This window comes from Homo sapiens, chromosome 13, assembly GCF_000001405.40.
Source record: "Homo sapiens chromosome 13, GRCh38.p14 Primary Assembly".
Classification (NCBI taxonomy): Eukaryota; Metazoa; Chordata; class Mammalia; order Primates; family Hominidae; genus Homo; species Homo sapiens.
The window spans coordinates 24252125-24270221 of record NC_000013.11 but is presented as its reverse complement, the minus strand read 5'-3'; the positions used below and the strand labels follow the sequence as shown (position 1 = coordinate 24270221).

General features: G+C 43.0%; 1 protein-coding gene and 1 long non-coding RNA gene across 4 annotated transcripts in view, besides 1 other annotated feature; one reads left to right on the top strand and one right to left on the bottom strand.

Annotated features, from left to right (window-relative positions):
• SPATA13 (spermatogenesis associated 13) overlaps positions 1 to 18097 on the bottom strand; it is a 327268-nt gene that overhangs the window by 36848 nt on the left and 272323 nt on the right. The window lies entirely within an intron of this gene.
• Positions 2720 to 2869: an enhancer, noted in NCBI's record as "active region_7473". NCBI's record gives its function as "activates an Ori minimal core promoter by ATAC-STARR-seq in GM12878 lymphoblastoid cells {active_cell/tissue: GM12878}" and the evidence as "EXISTENCE:reporter gene assay evidence [ECO:0000049][PMID:35858748]".
• SPATA13-AS1 (SPATA13 antisense RNA 1) lies at positions 15783 to 17473 on the top strand. Its single transcript, NR_046531.1, has 3 exons — positions 15783 to 15886; positions 17023 to 17143; positions 17266 to 17473. It is a non-coding gene; the product is annotated as an SPATA13 antisense RNA 1 (long non-coding RNA).

Below are 18097 nucleotides of genomic sequence, written 5' to 3'. Positions count from 1 at the left end.
TTCCTCTATACTCTTCTATACTTTCCAAATTATCTACAATGAGCAAGTCTTTCATATTGTAAAATGACTGTTAACAAAGAGTGAGCTTCCTTCCATTTCCCCATAAGCAGAAGACACGGCCTTTTTAACTTTATGAACAATGAGGTAATATATACGCAAAGTAGTGACCTCACAGTCATCTCTTAGTAAATGTGGGTTTAAGCTGGGCCCGCTGGCTCATGCCTGTAATCCCAACTACTCAGGAGGATGACGCAGGAGGATTGCTTAAAACCAGGAATTCATGACCAGTCTGGGCAACATAGCAAGACCCTATCTCTAAAAAAAAAAAATTAGGTCTGGGCAAGGTAGCTCACACCTGTAATCCCAACACTTTGGGAGGCCAAGGTGGGAGGATCAATTGAGCCCAGGAGTTTGAGACAAGCCTGGGCAACATAGCAAGGTCCTGTCTCTACTAAAAAAAAAAAAAAAAAAAAAAAAAAATTTATATTAGCCATGCATAGTGGCATGTGCCTGTGGTCCCAGCTACTCAGGAGGCTGAGGTGGGAGGATTGCTTGAGCCCAGAAGGTGGAGGCTGCAGTAAGCTATGATCGTACCACTGTACTCCAGCCTCGGTGACAGAATAAGATCCTGTCTCTAAAAATAAAAATAAAAAATTAGCTGGGCAGAGTGGCACATGCCTGTCATCCTAGTTACTCAGGAGTCTGAGATGGGAGGATCACTTGAGCCCAGGAGTTCGAGGTTGCAGTAAACTATAATCACACCACTGCACTCCAGTGTTGTGAGTTACAGAGCTAGATCCTGTCTCTAAAATAGATACATACATACATACACACATACATACATACACACATACATACATACATGTTAAACAAGTGATAGTGCCAATTAGTAAAATGCATGCTTTATAGTGATGAGCTTTGGAGTCAGACTGCCTGTGTTCAAAAGCTGCTTTCCCATAACAAAATTAGGGAAAGTTTCCAAGTCTCTAGGCAGCTCTCTTTCCACATCTGCGGAGTGGGGATAACTGCAGCACCAATCAATAATCCTCACAGAATTACTCGAGAACATATTGCAGTGTTTAGAGAAGCACTGGCTCTTCATTGGGGGTTAATAAATGTTAGCCGTCACGCTGCTGCTGTCGCTCCAAAAAACCTGAGGTCCCTTAATAACATGCTAGTTCCCAGAGAAATCACAGCATGAACTCAGAATGGAAAGCTGTATGATTAGTAATAACACACATGTTGACTATATACTATATCGTAGGCTTCTCTTATCTTCAAATATCTGTGGCTATTTCTATTGATCTGGAGCATCCCACCCTCAAATCCAGGTAAGGACAGTTTTCTGGGAAACTCATAGCCTTAGTAACCCGCACTACAAGTGAAAAACACACACGATCACACAAACTCTTATGACCAGTTCAGCTGAAAATCTTTCTCTTACAGAAATTTTATTTCATTTTGAGATGGAGTCTTGCTCTGTCACTCAGGCTGGAGTGCAGTGGCACGATCTTGGCTCACTGCAACCTCCACCTCCTGGGTTCAAGTGATTCTCCTGCCTCAGCCTCCCGAGTAGCTGGGATTACAGGCGCACACCACCATGCCCGGCTAATTTTTGTATTTGTAGTAGAGATGAGGTTTCACCATGTTGGTCAGGCTGGTCTCAAACTCCTGACCTCAGGTGGTCTGCCCACCTCGGCCTCCCAAAGTGCTGGGACTACAGGCATGAGCCACTGCGCCCAGCCTCTTACAGGAATTTAAAAAGATGATTTAAAAGAGGCAAATACTTAAGATGTTTAATAGACAATTCATTCAATACAGGCATATTCTCAATAAAGGTGGTAGTTTATTAAATTATAGGCTCAAAAGACTCCTCGATACTGTTTTTCACAGCAGACTACTCTCTCTCTCGTGTAAAGTCTCCTAAGTATATCTCATGGAATACTAGTGGCATAATACGCTCCAAGAAAAGAGTTTGAAAACCACTGTATATTGTATCTACCTTTTGGATATCCTACAGGATTCATCAGTAATCACAGGCTCTAAAAAGTTCCCACTGACAGCTGTGCCATCTTCTTTAACATAGAATTTAACAATCGTATTTGGCTATGACGCTCTTTTTTTATGACAACACATATTACTACACCAAAAGAAAGTATCCTCTGGCCTTGCTACTCACAGTAGGGCCCATGGACCAGCAGTATCAGCATGACTGGGAGCTGGTGAGAAATTCAGATTCCTGGGCCCTGCCCCAGGTCTGCAGAATCAGAATCAACATTTTAACAACATCCCAGGTTATTCAAATGCACATTCAGGTTTCAGAAGTGTTGTTCTAGACAACTCAAGAAACTATACAACATACTTGGAGAAGCACTGCCATGAGGCAAAATCTTCAATATCAGTATCTTTTCTAACTAGTGAAGACCATGGAATGAATGGGTGGGCTTGAGTTTAGTCAGAATGAAAAGGTAAAATGCATAATACTCAGACACAAAGCAGCAGAAAGTAGGAATTAATTCTCAAGGTTATCCATTCCAACAAAGCCTAAATTCCAGAAGGAGGCAAATAAAATCCAGTGTTTTCATTTTCTACAAAAATTTTTTTTTTGGTTAAAATCATTAGTTTTCAAAAAGCAAAAGCTCTCTTGGCCTCATTTTCTTAGAACTTGGTAGGCTGTTTGCTCACTTTCACTTTTCATCGGCATCCGGTACAAGAGGATAGTTTCTGTTTCCCAAGCACTTTTTCTCAATCCAGAGACGGGGTCAGGGCACTAGACTAACATCCTTGGGATTACAGGATCTTAAGCCAGAGGCATTCACTAGAGATTATTGTGTAGGCAAAACAAAATAAAAAGAAGGAAAACAAGTAAATAAACAAAGACTGCCTTGAAATCAGGCATCTTCTCAAAGGATGTGACCCAACAACCCCTTTATGTCCCCACCAGCTTGGATATGGCCCCATTACCAAGCACTACAGGACAGGTGCTAGATGGAAGAGTCCCAGGGAAGAGAGTCACACTATTCTGTGGCAAAGGACTACCATCAACTTTAGGAAATGGGCTCAAGGATGGGCACATCTGCCAGCCACCCTTCTAAGATAGTTTTGGAAGAAGCCACTACTAATGTAGAAAGGGGCATGATAGAACAAGGAGATAGGACTTTCAGCTTAATTTTTTTTTTTAGTGATCAGAGCCTACATTTACCAGATCAGTAAGAATCCTACAACGAAAACCTAAACCATAGTTCAAAGAAGTCTTAAAATCCTGGCTGGGCATTGGTGGCTCACACCTATAATCCCAGCACTTTGGGAGGCTGAGGAGGAAGGATCACTTGAGACTGAGAGGTTGAGGCTGCGGAGAGCTGAGATTGTACCACTGCACACCAGCCTGGGTGACAGAGGGAAGCCCTGACTTGGAAAAAAAAAAAGAAAAAAGAAAAATCCAACCCCCAAATTAATCTCTTCTCTTTGGATAAGATACCACTACCTCACTGGAACTGGGAAATGACCATCATTGATTATTGGCAACACTGTAAAAGGATTAAGCACAGGGATCAGATCCGTAGGTAGGAGTGGAGATATCCAACTTACATATTAATATTAAATGTTGAGAAATCAGAGAGGACAAAATAAACACTGAAGATTGTGTGTGGTGGCTCATGCCTTGATCCCAGCACTTTGGGAGGCCAAGGTGGGAGGATCACTTGAGGCTAGGAGTTTGAGACCAGCCAGAGCAACATAGGCAGACCCCATCTCTACAAAAAATAAAAAAATTAGCCCAGCTTGGTGACACATGCCTTGAGTCCCAGTTGCTCAGGAGGCTAAGGTGAGAGAATCCCTTGAGCCCAGGAGATCGAGGCTGCAGTGAGCTATGATTGGGCCAGTGCCCTCCAGCCTGGGTGACAGAGCAAGACATTATCTCTATAAAAATTAAAATTAATTTTTAAAAATAGATGTTGAAAACACATAGGATGTTATGATCAATTTTATTCTATAGATACAGAAAGTTATTTTTGGTAAGCTGGTCCCAAAACCCATATATATTTACATACCTATGGGAAAGAAATGTCATAAAATTCTTGGAGAGGCAAGTTAATAGCAGTATCTCAAACTCACAACAGTAGTCAGCACTTGACCTCTCTAGGAGGATTTCTGGAGACTGAGTAGGTTCATTAAGGTTCTTGAGATTGAGTGGCCATTAAGGTTCCTTTGAGCTCCACATTTCTGATATCTTCTTATTTTAAGTATGACATGGTAGATATTTTCTTCTATGATCACCTCCGAATTAAGTGCAGAGAGATGACCAGCACCAAAGTTTCCCACCTGCTGCAGCTTCCCTGTTGTTTCTGCAAAGCAGCTGCCTCCCTTCATGGTACAGACATATCCAGAACCCAGGAACATCCTTGGAACTTTATGTCCCCACTAACTTTGATATGGCCCCATTACCAAGAACTACAGGACAGGTGCTAGGCAGAGAGGCAGGCCCCAGGGGAGAGTCATGCTGTCCCCTGGGAAAGCATGGCCATCAGCTTTAGGACATGGGCGGAAGGATGGGCACATCAGCCAAGAACCAAGGCTGCCACGGGCTGGAATGACCCATAATCCCAACTCCCATATGGACAATGACTACACAGAATCAGGAGTGACACAGCCAGGACCTGTGGACATCACTGGCCATCTCCCACAGCTGAGACGGGGCTGCACTTTCTAAAGTTGGGATGGGAGAGTCCTTCACAGGAAATAATTTGCTACATTTGCTATCAGTTATTCAGGCCAATGTCCATTCCCCTAAATCATCGAGTGCCGAGAGTGACCTCTTCATTCTAAATGGATTAAAGACAAACATGATTATTAATCTACAGGTCACAGTGATGCTACTTTCCAGAGGAACCTGAAAGGCATTGAACGTAACACAGGGCATGGCATGTCCTAGCACAAACTGATGAGCCGGGTAGATGCTGCCTCAGCAGGCCGACTCCTGTTGGGCAAAGGCAGGCTCAGTTCAGGTCTGACTGAAATGCCACTCAGCAGCCACAGACTCTTCACCACAGGAGGGGCGGGCCCCATCATACACAGCTCAGGAAATGGAGCCTGAAGTACAAGGGCAAACTCTGTGAGACTCGCCCCGGCCTGCTTCAAGACAGCTATGAAGAAAAAGTGCCTCTCTTCATGCCTTCAAAGCAACTGCTTTCACCTTGGAGCAATGTGGACCTGAACACACAAAACCAGCGAATATGTGCTCTCAGCGGCTTCAATGAACCCCTTCATCATTCACCCCTACTCAATATCCCACCCTCTCCAAACACAGCTCCAAACAAGATACTTTGGACCTGGGCACTGACTAGAACTTTGATTAATGCAGAAATAAATATAAAATTGTCCTTTAAAAGGTGCCAGCTTCAGCTGAAGGCCATTGTTTTCCTGTTCTCTGTAAGCACACGTGGATTTTTCATCCTTCAGGGCCTAGTACAGATTTCACTTCTTTTCTGTATTTACCTGGTTATTTTCAGATCCTTAGGACCAAGCACATTTCAAACATAACAAGAACACAACAGGGATTGGAGGAATATAACTTTTTTCTTTGTCTTAATAGAAGGCAATTATTGGGACATGGTCTTTAAAACTGCCAACAGGCATATCTTTGTGCAAATCAATTAGACAATATTGTGTTTTGTGATGGAGAAAACATACGGGAAACTGAATAGAATGGAAAGCAATCTGTGTTTTTCAGTTTGATCTCATTTGAATGCTAGCTCCACTATCTACTCATTACATCTTGCTTAGCCAAGCTAGGAAAAGTTACCGAATATTTCTAAGGCCTGACCTTGTCTGTAAGATCAGGCCAGGAATACGTACAGAGTGCTACTGGCTCTTGGTGGTGGTTCGCTAGACATTTAGCTGTCTTGCTCTCCTTCCTCTGACTTTTAATATTCTTTCTTCTTCTTTTAAAATCCAATTTCTGAAGCTTAGTAATAAGACAGACGATATTTTCAATAACTTTTACTTTTTAACTCTAGCTGTTGAGAACTGAGAATGTTTTAACTGCTAGAAGATGAAATTTCATGAGCTTGCTAAAAAAAAAGTTTAATACTTTATGTTTTTCTGAGACAAGAAATAGAACACTATATTCCTTCTAAAAAATCTCGATGATAGGCAACAATGAGGCATGAAACAACAGCTAAGATAACTGCTATGGAGCTAATACAATCTCCAAGACTTGCAGACAATATGGTTTTGGGCACTAAAGGCCATATTTGTAGTCCTTGTTCTGCACACAGAAGCCTTTCATAATTTCTAAATTCCTTCGGACTCTGTGGAATCCAGGCTGTCTCACAGCAGTCAGAAGACAGGGATTTTACCATAGGCAGTCTTAGCAGTCAGGAAAACACTTGCTGCGAGTACTGATAAGTGAATTGATTCATCTCGTTTTGTAAGTAAACACAGTTGGTCCTCCGTATCTGTGGGTTACACATCTGTGGACTCAACCAACTGCAGATTGAAAACATTTAAAAAACTGTGACTGTACTGAATATGTACAGACTTTTTTTCTTGTAACTATTCCCTAAACAATGCAGCATAACAACTATTTACATAGCATTTACATTGCATTAATATTAGGTCTTTAAGTAATCTAGAGGTGATTTAAAGTATATGGAGGATGGGCATGGGTTATATGCAATTATTAGGCCATTTTATATCAGGGACTTTTGCACAGCCTTGGAGTCTGATGCCTGAAGAGTCCTGGAACCAATCCCCCTCAGACAACCAGGGATGACTGTATAATCAACAGCCAATATTCCTTGGCATGAGTATAAAGTGAGATGTAGGGGGAGAAGGGAACGTGGCAAGGCTCACGGCATCCCCACCTAACAATCCAAGTGCTCCATCACCAATTCTCCAACCAGCTTTCCTGAGAGCTCCGCTGCTATCACGCAACAGGCACTAAGCAAGTAAATCCCAAGTTCCTATTTTCCCTCTGATTCTTTATTGAAAGAAAATATTTGAAAATCGATTTGAGTAAAATGCAGAAGCAGCAAGAGATAATTCAAAAAACAAGAGAACAAAAAGATGTTATGGGATGCTTAAAGTCATTTCAAAGGTATCACACACACCTCAACACCTGCTACGGCTTTTCTTTTTTTCCTTCCTTTTAACAAAAAATTCAGTGGAGTCTCTGGGTGATACAACGAAAAATCATTAGATAATACCTAAAATTTGCAGCCCAGAGAATCTATAAAAAAGACCCAGTCAAGTTTCTTTTTTTTTAAAATAACCTGAACGTATGTATTTTAAATTTGCTTAACTTATATTTGGATAATAAACAGTATATTATTCCATATAGACTCCAAGTGCTCTGGGACTTTACTAAGTAGACTAAATGACTTGTCTAAGCTAAGTCACTGATTAGTGCAGTTAAATCAGTAACTCAGAACTCTGGATGTAAACAGTTTCCTGCTCATCATTGCCTTTGTCCCCTGTATAGTTAATGCTTCCCTAATTAATTAGTAATAGTTACTGCACACTTACTGTGTGCCAGGTCATTCTTCCACATCTGTGGGACAGATCATATTAGTTTCTCCCATTACAGATAAAGACATGAAGACTTTGAGATTAAGTGACTTGCCCAAGGATTGGGATTACACTCTCACTTTTTGACCCAAAGGTCTGTTAATAAGAAAATTAACTTTCATAATAATTAGGACAGAATAAGGCCAGAATAACTGTATGAGTAACCTCCCTTTTGTGATGCACTTAGGCTATGAATCAAGAATTCTTACTGCCTTATTTTATTGACAGTCCTAAGAAAAAACAGAAACGTGGTGTGATCTGATCAAACTATCAGTGCATAAATTTGTTATTCCAACAAATTAGAAGTAGGATTTTAACAACCACAAAAGAGCTAAAAAAAAAAAAAGAAAAAAAACTTTGTTTTAAACAAACAAAAAAAATACAAAGAATTTGAATAAATTTCTTTACTACAAGACTTTTCAAAGAAATAAGTTTCAGTAATTTCTCATAATTCAATTAATTTTATTTAAAAAATCAAATTTGAAACAACATAAGCACTTCCTATGATTAAATTCCCCTACTTCCTAAATGTTGGGGATTAATATCAATTCTAAATCAAGAAACGGAATTTTCTGATGTGTAATCTTCCCATCTCTTTGAAAAACATTCAGTGAGAATAAACGCTGACACATTCATACTAACAAGCTTTCAGATACTGGTAATACATAGACAAAATAATTGTTAATATCATAGCCTAATAAATTGTTTTTCATTAGTCCTGAGCCTTTATGGGGTATTTTGAACTATAAAATGAGAAAACCATCAACACAGCTTAAGCAAAATAGATAAAATACCTCAATTTTAAGACAACTCCCCCAACATCCTCCCATGGCATTCTGCCCTAGCACTGAACTGCTGAACTGAAACCGGTTTTTTTTTTTAAGGGCACGAAGCTCCTCCCTGCCACTGGATCCAGTGGGTATTTTTCTCTCTACACTTTGGTGCATTTGACAGTGTGAACCACTCTCACACCTGGAAGCCCTGGCTTCCTTTGACATCTGGGACACCGCTTACCTGCCTGGCTACTTTTTTTCTATTTTCTTTGTGAATTTCTCTGCCTTCACTGGTCCCCAAATGTTGGTCCTCAGAGCATGGTTCAAGATCCTCTTCTCATTTTTACCCCCACTCATATCACACTCCTTCCTAGAGTTTTAAGAACCACTTTGCTGATGACTCCCAAATCTTCATCTCTAACTTTGGGTCCCCTTCCTCAAAATCAGAGCTTCACAATCAAGGATATGGTGATGTCATCTTCATCGAGCTGCCCATAGGTCGCTCTGACTTGACCTGCCTGGAATGGAGTAAGCTCCCCAATTGACCAACATGCTCTTCTCCTAGGCTCCTTGTCAGCCAGGCATCAGAGGCAGCACGGATGGCTGCTCCCTGGCCCCAAACATCCAGACAATTACCTCGACCTCTCGGTTCTTCATATCTCCAGTGCCACTATCATTTTCCGAGGCAACAGACTCCCGAGGTCTCCAGTCCTCCACGATCCAGCCAATGATCTCTCTGAATGCACATCTGATCATCTCATGGCCCTCAAAAGCCCTCAGTGGCTCCCAGTTGCCCAGGCTCTGTCCTCCCAGGCAGCCTGAACTTAGTGGAGGCCCACCTCTCAGCCTCCTCCTCTGCATCCTGCTATAGCCTTGACCTGGAGCTGAGGTCCTCTGACTTGTAGCAATCGGGCTGCCTAAAAGCCCTAAGCCAAAAAAAAGTGCCCCATGCACGCATGCCATGAACATAACTTAAGGCATACATAGGTGCAATCATTCACCTTTGTCATGATGTAGGACAAGGCTCCCTGTGTACGATCAACTGACTAGAATTCTGCATTGTCTCTTGTACAATCCACACCCATATGCATCCGCTATGATTTCCAGTTCTGGCTTCTTTAACGTTGAGCAATAAAACCAGAGACACTGGCGAAACAATCTGAATATAGACTCCTCGATTTTTCCATTTTTTCCAAGCTGTCAATTCTCACCTAATTTGATAGAATTTTCTTTAACAATTCACTTTTATTGAGTTTCATTGGGTTTCTCCAAAGTATTCTATTTCATTGTCAGAGATGCCAAGTCCCCTTTCAGTCTCATATTCACATTTTATTTGCTTACATAATATCTAAATCAGTTCCATATCATCATAATAAAGCAACTGCCATAAACAGGCTTGGTGGGGTCATGCTCTTGACTCCCGGTGAGGATACAACTCTACTTGTGGGACCAGTGAAGAGGAGCCAGGAAGGCAAGCGCAGGCCACACTGTGGGATCTGCCAGCTCCTTACAGAGGCCTGGAGGACACTGTGACCTGACCAGTGTAATTTTCTCTTAGGCTACCCTACTCTCAACTTCTCAGATGTGCTCTCCTTTCTCTGGCCTCCACTTTTTGCCTGGAACACACTACCCCTAACAACAAACTTAATCTAACTCCCTTCATCCCTAAAGCCTCATTTGAGGTCATTTCCTCCATGAGGGCTTGGGACAGCCCAGATCCGACTGACATGCTCCCCGTTTCTACTCAGCGTGAGTGCAGTTGTGGTGGTTTTTCCCATTCATCCACCACACTGGCAGCTCTGTAGGAACACTCTCTAGCTTCCTCAGAACTGCCCAGCCTCTGGTACTGTGCCTCATTTATAATAGGGACATATGTATTTGTTAAATGGATCGAAATCAAGGAAGTATCTTCAAAACCAAAAGCACATTTAAAATCCAACTCAGGCCGGGTGTGGTGGCTCACACCTCTAATCCCAGTACTTTGTAAAGCCAAGGTGGGAGGCCAGGAGTTTGAGACCAGTCTGGGCAACAGAGTGAGACTCTGTCTCTAAAGAAAATCTAAAATAATAATAATAATACAATAAAATAAAATCCAATTCAGAAAGGTTTCGGAGCACCCTGGACATTTCCTGAGACAATACTGGTTGATTAAGCCCTGCTGGCCCCTCCTATAGCATTTCCCAATAATTTTAAGCTCATCAAAGTATCATAATGTTGAGCTGATGAGGTTTTACAACCAATACTAATCCCTAAATAGAGAAAAGTAAATAAATACATAAATAAGTAAATCTTTTCCATTTCTAAGGGGATGTATACATTCAGTACAAAATCAAACAGAAAAAACCAGAGCAGTAGACAGGGAAAGAATGTCACCCCCTGAATGATAATCCCCAATTGTACTTTGAAACCACTGAGCCTTAAACTCACTGGAAAATGTCTTGGTACGTTTTTGTTTTTTCTTTATTCAGACCAGCCTCAATCCTGTGCAGAAAACATCTACCAGAGTAAGAAAGCAAGTGAGGCTCTGGGGGCTGTTTTGGGGATGGCAGGTGGGGATGGCTCCACTTGGCGGCCACGTGGGTGGAAGCCCCTTGCTCTGCCCCCTCCCTGCAGACAGCAGCAGAAAGATGCACTGATCTGTTCACAAGAAGAGCCCCCATAAGACTCCCTAAGACCTTTGGGAGCTGTGGTCTTCCCCGTTCTCTTGGGCTTAGCAAGGAGGTAGCAGCATTCCTGCAGGGTCACTTGCACGTGCCTGTTGGGCCCCAGGGGTTCTTGGGAGGCCCAGCACCCAGCTCAGAGTGCACAAGGCCAGGCATGAGACGAGATGCTCACGGGCAGCCTGCAGATTCTTATCAAAACTACAGCTTACCCATATGGATGGTCCACCCCAAGGATGCTAACCTTGCTCCCCAGTGGCTAGCTAGGATATGCTCTCCTTTTATGAATTTCCTGCCCTGACAAAGCTCCTGACGTGGACCTGAGTAGTGGAAGAGCAGTAACCTTGATCGTACGGGGAAGAGGACCTGTTTCTGTGGTAGAAAGTGTTCTGTTTAGAACTCAGCATTTCTTTTAAAATAGTCCTTTGTTTGTTCTTGTGGTAAAAGGGGAAATGTAGCATGCTGGATTTATCACTAAGACATTTATTTTCAAAATTTAAGTATCTTATTCCTCACTCATATCTCTAACTTTTCAGTCTCTCTTTTTTTTTAGCGGAGAGGAGGTCTCACTCTGTTGCCCAGGCTGGGTGCAGTGGTGCGATCTTGGCCCGCTGCAACCTCTGCCTCCCAGGCTCAAGCAATCCTCCCATCTCAGCCTCCTGAGTAGCTGGTACTACAGGAACGCACGACAACTCTTGGCTAATTTTTTTGTATTTTTAGTAGAGATGGGGTTTTGCCATGTTGGCCAGGCTGGTCTCAAACTTGTGGGCTCAAGTGATCTGCCGACCTCAGCCTCCCAAAGTGCTGGGATTACAGACATGAGCCACCGTGCCTGGCCTTTTTTTTTTTTTTTTTTTTGAGATGAACTCTTCATTCTCATGGTAAACTCCGGTATAAACAAGGACCAATTTCACACATCTGTGACACTTTTTACTTGCTTTCTTATTGACAGGCAGAATCCAGAGTTCTTTTTATTTTTTTTTTTTTGAGATAGAGTTTCACTCTTGTTGCCCAGGCTGGAGTGCCATGGCGCAATGTAGGCTCACTGCAACCTCTATCTTCCGTGTTCAAGCAATTCTCCTGCCTCAGCCTCCCAGGTAGCTGGGATTACAGGCATGCGCCACCACACCCAGCTAATTTTGTATTTTTAGTAGAGAAAGAGATGAGGTTTCACCATGTTGGTTAGGCTAGTTTTGAACTCCTAACCTCAGGTGATCCACCACACCTGCCCAGAATCCAGAATTCTTATCGTTTCAGAGCACGTTTTCAAAAGCACTCCTCTCTTCACCACTCACTGGCCAGCTCAGATGGGCTTCTCAGACAGGCTGGTTGGCATAAAATTTGGGTCATGCTGTCCCCTTCACAGATCAAGATGTTATTTATTTATAACCTGCCTTTAAAGGACTCAATTTTTGGTTGTTTCCTAATGAAAAATGTGGATAGGTGGTTATGATTTAGTTTTACAACCTGCCTGCTAGCAATTCGTATTACTGTATCACTCTGATAAAGAATGAGTGACTCAGCCTAGCTCACTAGAGTGCTAGACTGGGTCAATTTGCTTCTCTTTTCTAGCTTGCAAAAAAAGAACTATATTTGCCAAAAAAAAAAAAAGTAAAAATTTAAAAAATCAAATTGAGCAATTACTTCAGTAAGTTAGAAACATTTTTTAAAGCAAGTCAACTTGCCAAGTTTGTGTCCCCTCAAAAAGGGCATTTTCTCTAGTTTTTATATCTAGCTATTATTGTACCTCATCTTGACTTTCCTCTTTTATTATCTGGCAGTATTACTAAATGCTCTAATACGGTGTACTTACTGGTTAACTAAAGGGCTTTCAAGAAATGTAACAGACCAGGTATCTTTTTTTGAAAGGGGTCTACCCATATCGACTGACTTTGGTGCACGGGTGTGCATTCGTCCTTTGCTTGTCTCTGTGAAGTTCCCACTCAAGTCTAACAGCGAAGTAAACTGGACACTCTCCTCTCTGGAAGATAAGAAAAGCAAGCTAATCTGAACTCTGGACAAGATACGTAGAAAGAGAAGGGGAATGGATAATAGAGACAAAGGGAAATTCAAAGTAAGAATTCTGAAAAGCACTCGAATTTGACTTCTGATCAACATAAACAGACCGGTTAAAGGAAGAAGTATGGTTGGAACCCAATGTTAAGTACAAAAAAATTAGGAGCTTAGGTAGGCTGTGATGGAGTAAGTTGTCTCAAATGAAAGAGAAAAGCTTCACTGAAAGCAAAGCAAAGGCGGCAAAGATAATTCCCCAGGAAAATCTTCTAGCAGTGTGGGCATCCTTCCTGAAACCCAAGGAAGGTGAAGCCACAAACACCATCCCCAACAATGCAGTGGTGTTTACAGGTTGTCACTCTTCCCTCCGATAAGGCTCCAATAAGTGCCACTGAAATTCATTATCCCAACTCTATTATCCCAAATAACACACCCAGTAGCCTACAAACATGACTCAGGCCTGTCCCACATGACCTGCCTTCGCAGGCTGTGTGGCTGGCAAGAGGTAAGACAGGTGCTACAAACAGGGCCAGAGAAAAGTGGTGAGAGAAAGGAAGAGCACAGCACGGCGCTGCCAAGTTCTCGGAAGGGAGGGCTCCATTCACCTAGAAAGACTCTGCCTTCATTTCTTTAAAAAAAAAAAAATTAAATGCAATGTTCAATTTTCTATATTTTGAGAAAAATTTAGTTGTGGATACTACTTAATTTGGAGAGTTTTTTATATTATTATTTTAAACTCACATAATAATTGTACAATATTTATGGGGTACAGTGTGATATTTCAATATATGTATACAATGTGGAATGAGCAAATCAGGGTAATTAGCATATCATCACCCCAAGCACTTATCATTTATTTGTATTAAGAACATTTGAATCCTCTCTTCTAGCTATTTTGAACTATACAATACATTGTCATTAACTGTGGCACAGTAGGACTTATTCTTCCTGTCTAGCTCTATTTTTATATCCATTTACCAACCTTTGGTTATCAAGATTTTGAGAATACTTGACCAGGGAGGAGAAATATACTTTCATTATTATTTAAAAGTTGATACTACAGAAAATTTCAAATACACACAAAAGCAGATAATACCATGAACCCACGATTATCAGTCTTTTGCCAATATTGTTTCAACTATTTCCCACCAACTTTTTTGGAGTATTTTAAAACAAATCTCACATATCATATTTTATGCAGAAAGTATTTCACTATCTGTGTATAACAAACAAGGACTTAAAAATAACTGCACTATCTTATCCCAACTAACAAAATTAAAAATAATTCCTTCATGTTGCCAAATATTCAGTTCATCTGAAAATCTCCCCAACGTGTCTCAAAATGATGCTTTTACAGCTGGTTTGCTGAGCTCAATTTGTGGGCTTACTGAGCTGGATGCCATTCTAGCACTTCGTTGGTATATAAACCTAAAACCCTCAGTGCATAGAAAGGAAGGAGTTCCAGGACTGGGATGGAAATGCTAGAGATGGTCTATCATGTGAGTCTCACCACCCCTTGGGCTGCATCTCCCATGTGACAGCAGCTTTTATAATTAATGTACTGCTAATCTCTCTAGGCCAGAGATGCTGCTGAGAGATGGTTCCACTGCAATGCAAACCTGGTCCTCCATGGGGGTGGGACATCTGTCATGGGAAAAAGGTGGGCATAGTTACTATACCACACAGCAGGGCCAGCTTGGTCATCTGAATGGTTTGACCTGTGAAATCTCTGGTTGTGCTGTTAACTGATCTCGGGGTCCCCAGGAACAAAACAGATGAGTGATTCCACAAAGGTACCACAACATTGTGTAGGAGGAACTCTCCAGGGCTGGCAAGCAGAGCCCGACCTGAGCCACCATGACAGAGAAGACAAGGGAGGGCCCTCACTCAACTCCCAGACTCAGGCCTCTTGATGGAGCAGAGCCAGGGAGCCTCAGGGTAGGCATCCTACTACAAGTCTTCTTCCTAGCTTCTCAAAGAGAACTCCTACCATCAGCCTGGTGACTGTGTCCTCAGGACAGGGAAACTCCCGGCGGCAAATGTAAGCAATACTCTTCCCAAGCCTTTCTGAGTAGGAGAGATGGCTTTGGCAAGGCAAGGATTTAGCTCGTGCGCACTCCTGGTTAGGAGCTAATGGCCTGGCTGAATGGCCTGGAGGAATGTGGAAAGAACAAGATGGGCTGAGGATGGGTTTGGGGAAGGAGTATAACTGGCTACCTCAGAATACCCGCAGAGCATGAGATGATGTCCATCCTACATGAATCCTTATTGCAAGAGAGGCTAATCAATCATCATGTGGACATGCTGTCCCAATGTGCAGCTAGATGCCAGTCTTCCTTCCTAGTCATCTTGATACTTGCTCAGTGGGTTCATAAAAAGGAAAAAAAAAAAGAAGCAAGCAAGAAAAAGGCCATGGTGGCAAAAATGGATGCCAAGCCTGGGCTAAACCACAGGAAGTCTGGGCCTTCCCCTCAACAAAGCTGATGATACGGTTCCCCGCAGGAACCAGACAGCCCCTTGCGGAAAGCTGATTGCAGTGGGGCCTTTTCATAATAGAGGGGGTGGTGATTTGTCCCTACTGGAAGGGCCACTTATGCTGGGCTTGGATTTGTTTTCCTGCACTCTGTGGATCCTCTAGAAGGCCCCTATCCTGTCGCAGCATCTCACACGCCATCCAGGCCCAGAACGTCACAGAGAAGGAAGCACATGACCCCATCACACCCAATAACAACCAAATAAAAATGAAGTTACAGAGGCAGCTGGGAGACACACCCAGAAGTTGCCATACTGCCCTGGATGGGACGCAAGCTCTGAAGCAGTGACTAATTTGGAGAGGCTGGCCCACAGCAGAAGATGCAGGGCCGGAAACCAAGGGTAAACATAGAAGCGGCTTCTTAGGATTACTTAATAATATACTTGCAAAATGTTTTCTTCCCACCTAGGAACTCTGCTCTGTTGAAACTGAATTTAGTGCCCAAGGGAGAAGTACTTCCTCCAGAGTTCACAGTCCTGGCCACAGTGAATCAGAACCAAGGCTGGCCATTTTTGCCTCTTCGTACCACTGGGAAAATGAGCACCCACGGAAAATGGGGATGGCTTTTGTGGTCACTGCTACCATATTTCTCAAATGGACTAATGCAATCGCCTTCAAATCAATCTCCATTCCTCTTCCTTTCCCCCCACAAACTGCCCTCCCTCTCTAAGCATAAACCGGAACATAATATGCTCCTGCTGCCAATGGCTTCACACCACACTTAGAACAAGCTCAGCCTCCTCATGACCTGCAGAGCCCTTTCCAGCCTCAGCCCACCTCCCAGCCTGCAACATCCTCGTCTGCCTCTTGCTCCCTGAGCTCCTGTCACTGTGGCCTCCTTGCTGAACCTCAGACACATCATGTTTCCTGCCTGTCTTTGGGCTTCTGGTGCTCCTTCGGCTAGGACTTCTCCTCCCTCGGATCTCTGCCTCACTGCCTCCTACTCACCTGTCCCCAGCGTCACCTCCTTGGAGAGGAGGCTATCTCCCCCACCTGCTCCTACTCCTCACATTACCCAAAGTCATCTTCTGCAGGGCCGTCACTGGTGCCTTGGTGCATCCTACATATTGACTTATGGAATCTGTTCAAATGCTGAAATGTAAACTTTGCATGACGTTTTATTCTCCACAGCATCCCAAATTCTCTATTTCCTTCCTTTCCCTGCCTTGCCATTCTGGTAGGGATGTGTTGCTTAAATCTGCCTCTAGTTAATCAACGCTGAAGAGGCACTGCATGGAACTGGAGGACTAGTTATCCTAAGAGGTCCTAGACTTGGAGGTGTCTGCTGCCACTGATGAGGATCTGGGTGTCTCCTTCTAGGGAAGAGAGAGAGGGTTCATGGAACAGGTGCATCCTGTTCATTAGAGTGTCATTAGAATAACACTCTTTGGAAATGAATGCTCTCTATCCTGTTTTATTTTTCTTTATAGTACTGTCTGCTCTGTTAAATACTTACTTGGCCTGTCTTCACATATAGAAGGCAAGGGTCCCTGGAGACAGACACCCCACCCTTCTTCCTGTTCCAGTACCACCAGGTGGTGGACATATCACCTAAGCTCGGACAGCTGAATCTTCCATCCTGGGACCTGAACCCCTGGGTGAGTGACAGAAAGACAGTCACTAACTCCTAATAAGTTAACTCCTTATTATAACTCCTCCCCAAATAAGTATACACTTCTTCAAGATAGGGTCTTTAATTAAATGTTTTGTATTTTCAAAGCGCTCACTGGATACCCAGATAAAGTGCTCACTGGATACCTCACTAGCTCCTGGGACAGTGCCATGGCCAGTCTCCCATCACACACCTTCCGGTGGCTCCTCCACTCCCAGGAGTGAGCCTGGATGCCATCCCTTCCCTAGCCTGGTTCCCCAGCCATCCCATCAATTCTGGGCACACCTGGCCCCCTTCCAATAAATTCCCTTTTTGCTTAAGACAGCCAGAGTTAGGTTTTGTTGCTTTTCGACAAAAGAACGCTAAAATTAAAACATTTTTAACATAACAACAAAAACCAGTGTTACAGAAAGCAGGGAAAGGCTGTGTGTACACAGGTACGGGGTGGGAGGAGAAGTGCTCTACATTCCTACCACCCTAACAATGCTACTGTTATTTCTGCCTGTTCTTTCAAAATCTTCTGCCATATGGGTACACGTTGCATATTGTTACAAACATGGTATACGTTTTTGATTGAATTGTGTCCCCCCAAAAGATGGTGAAGTCCTAACCCCCAGTACCCATGAGTGTGACCTTATTTGGAAATAGTCTTAGGTAGATAATCACATTAAGATGAGGTCACTAAGTTGGGCCCACATGCAGTAAGCCTGGTGTCTTTATAAAAAGGGGAAATCTGAACACAGACAGACACAGGGGAGAATGCCATGTGAACATGAAGGCAGAGATGAGGCAATGCTCCTACAGGCCAAGGAACACTGAGGGCACCAGACGCAAGGAAAGCAGCCTGGAGCAGACCCTCCCTCACAGCCCTCAGAAGAAACTGACCCTGCTGACGTGTTGATCTCGGATTTCTAGCCTGGGTCTCGGTTCTTTAGGGATC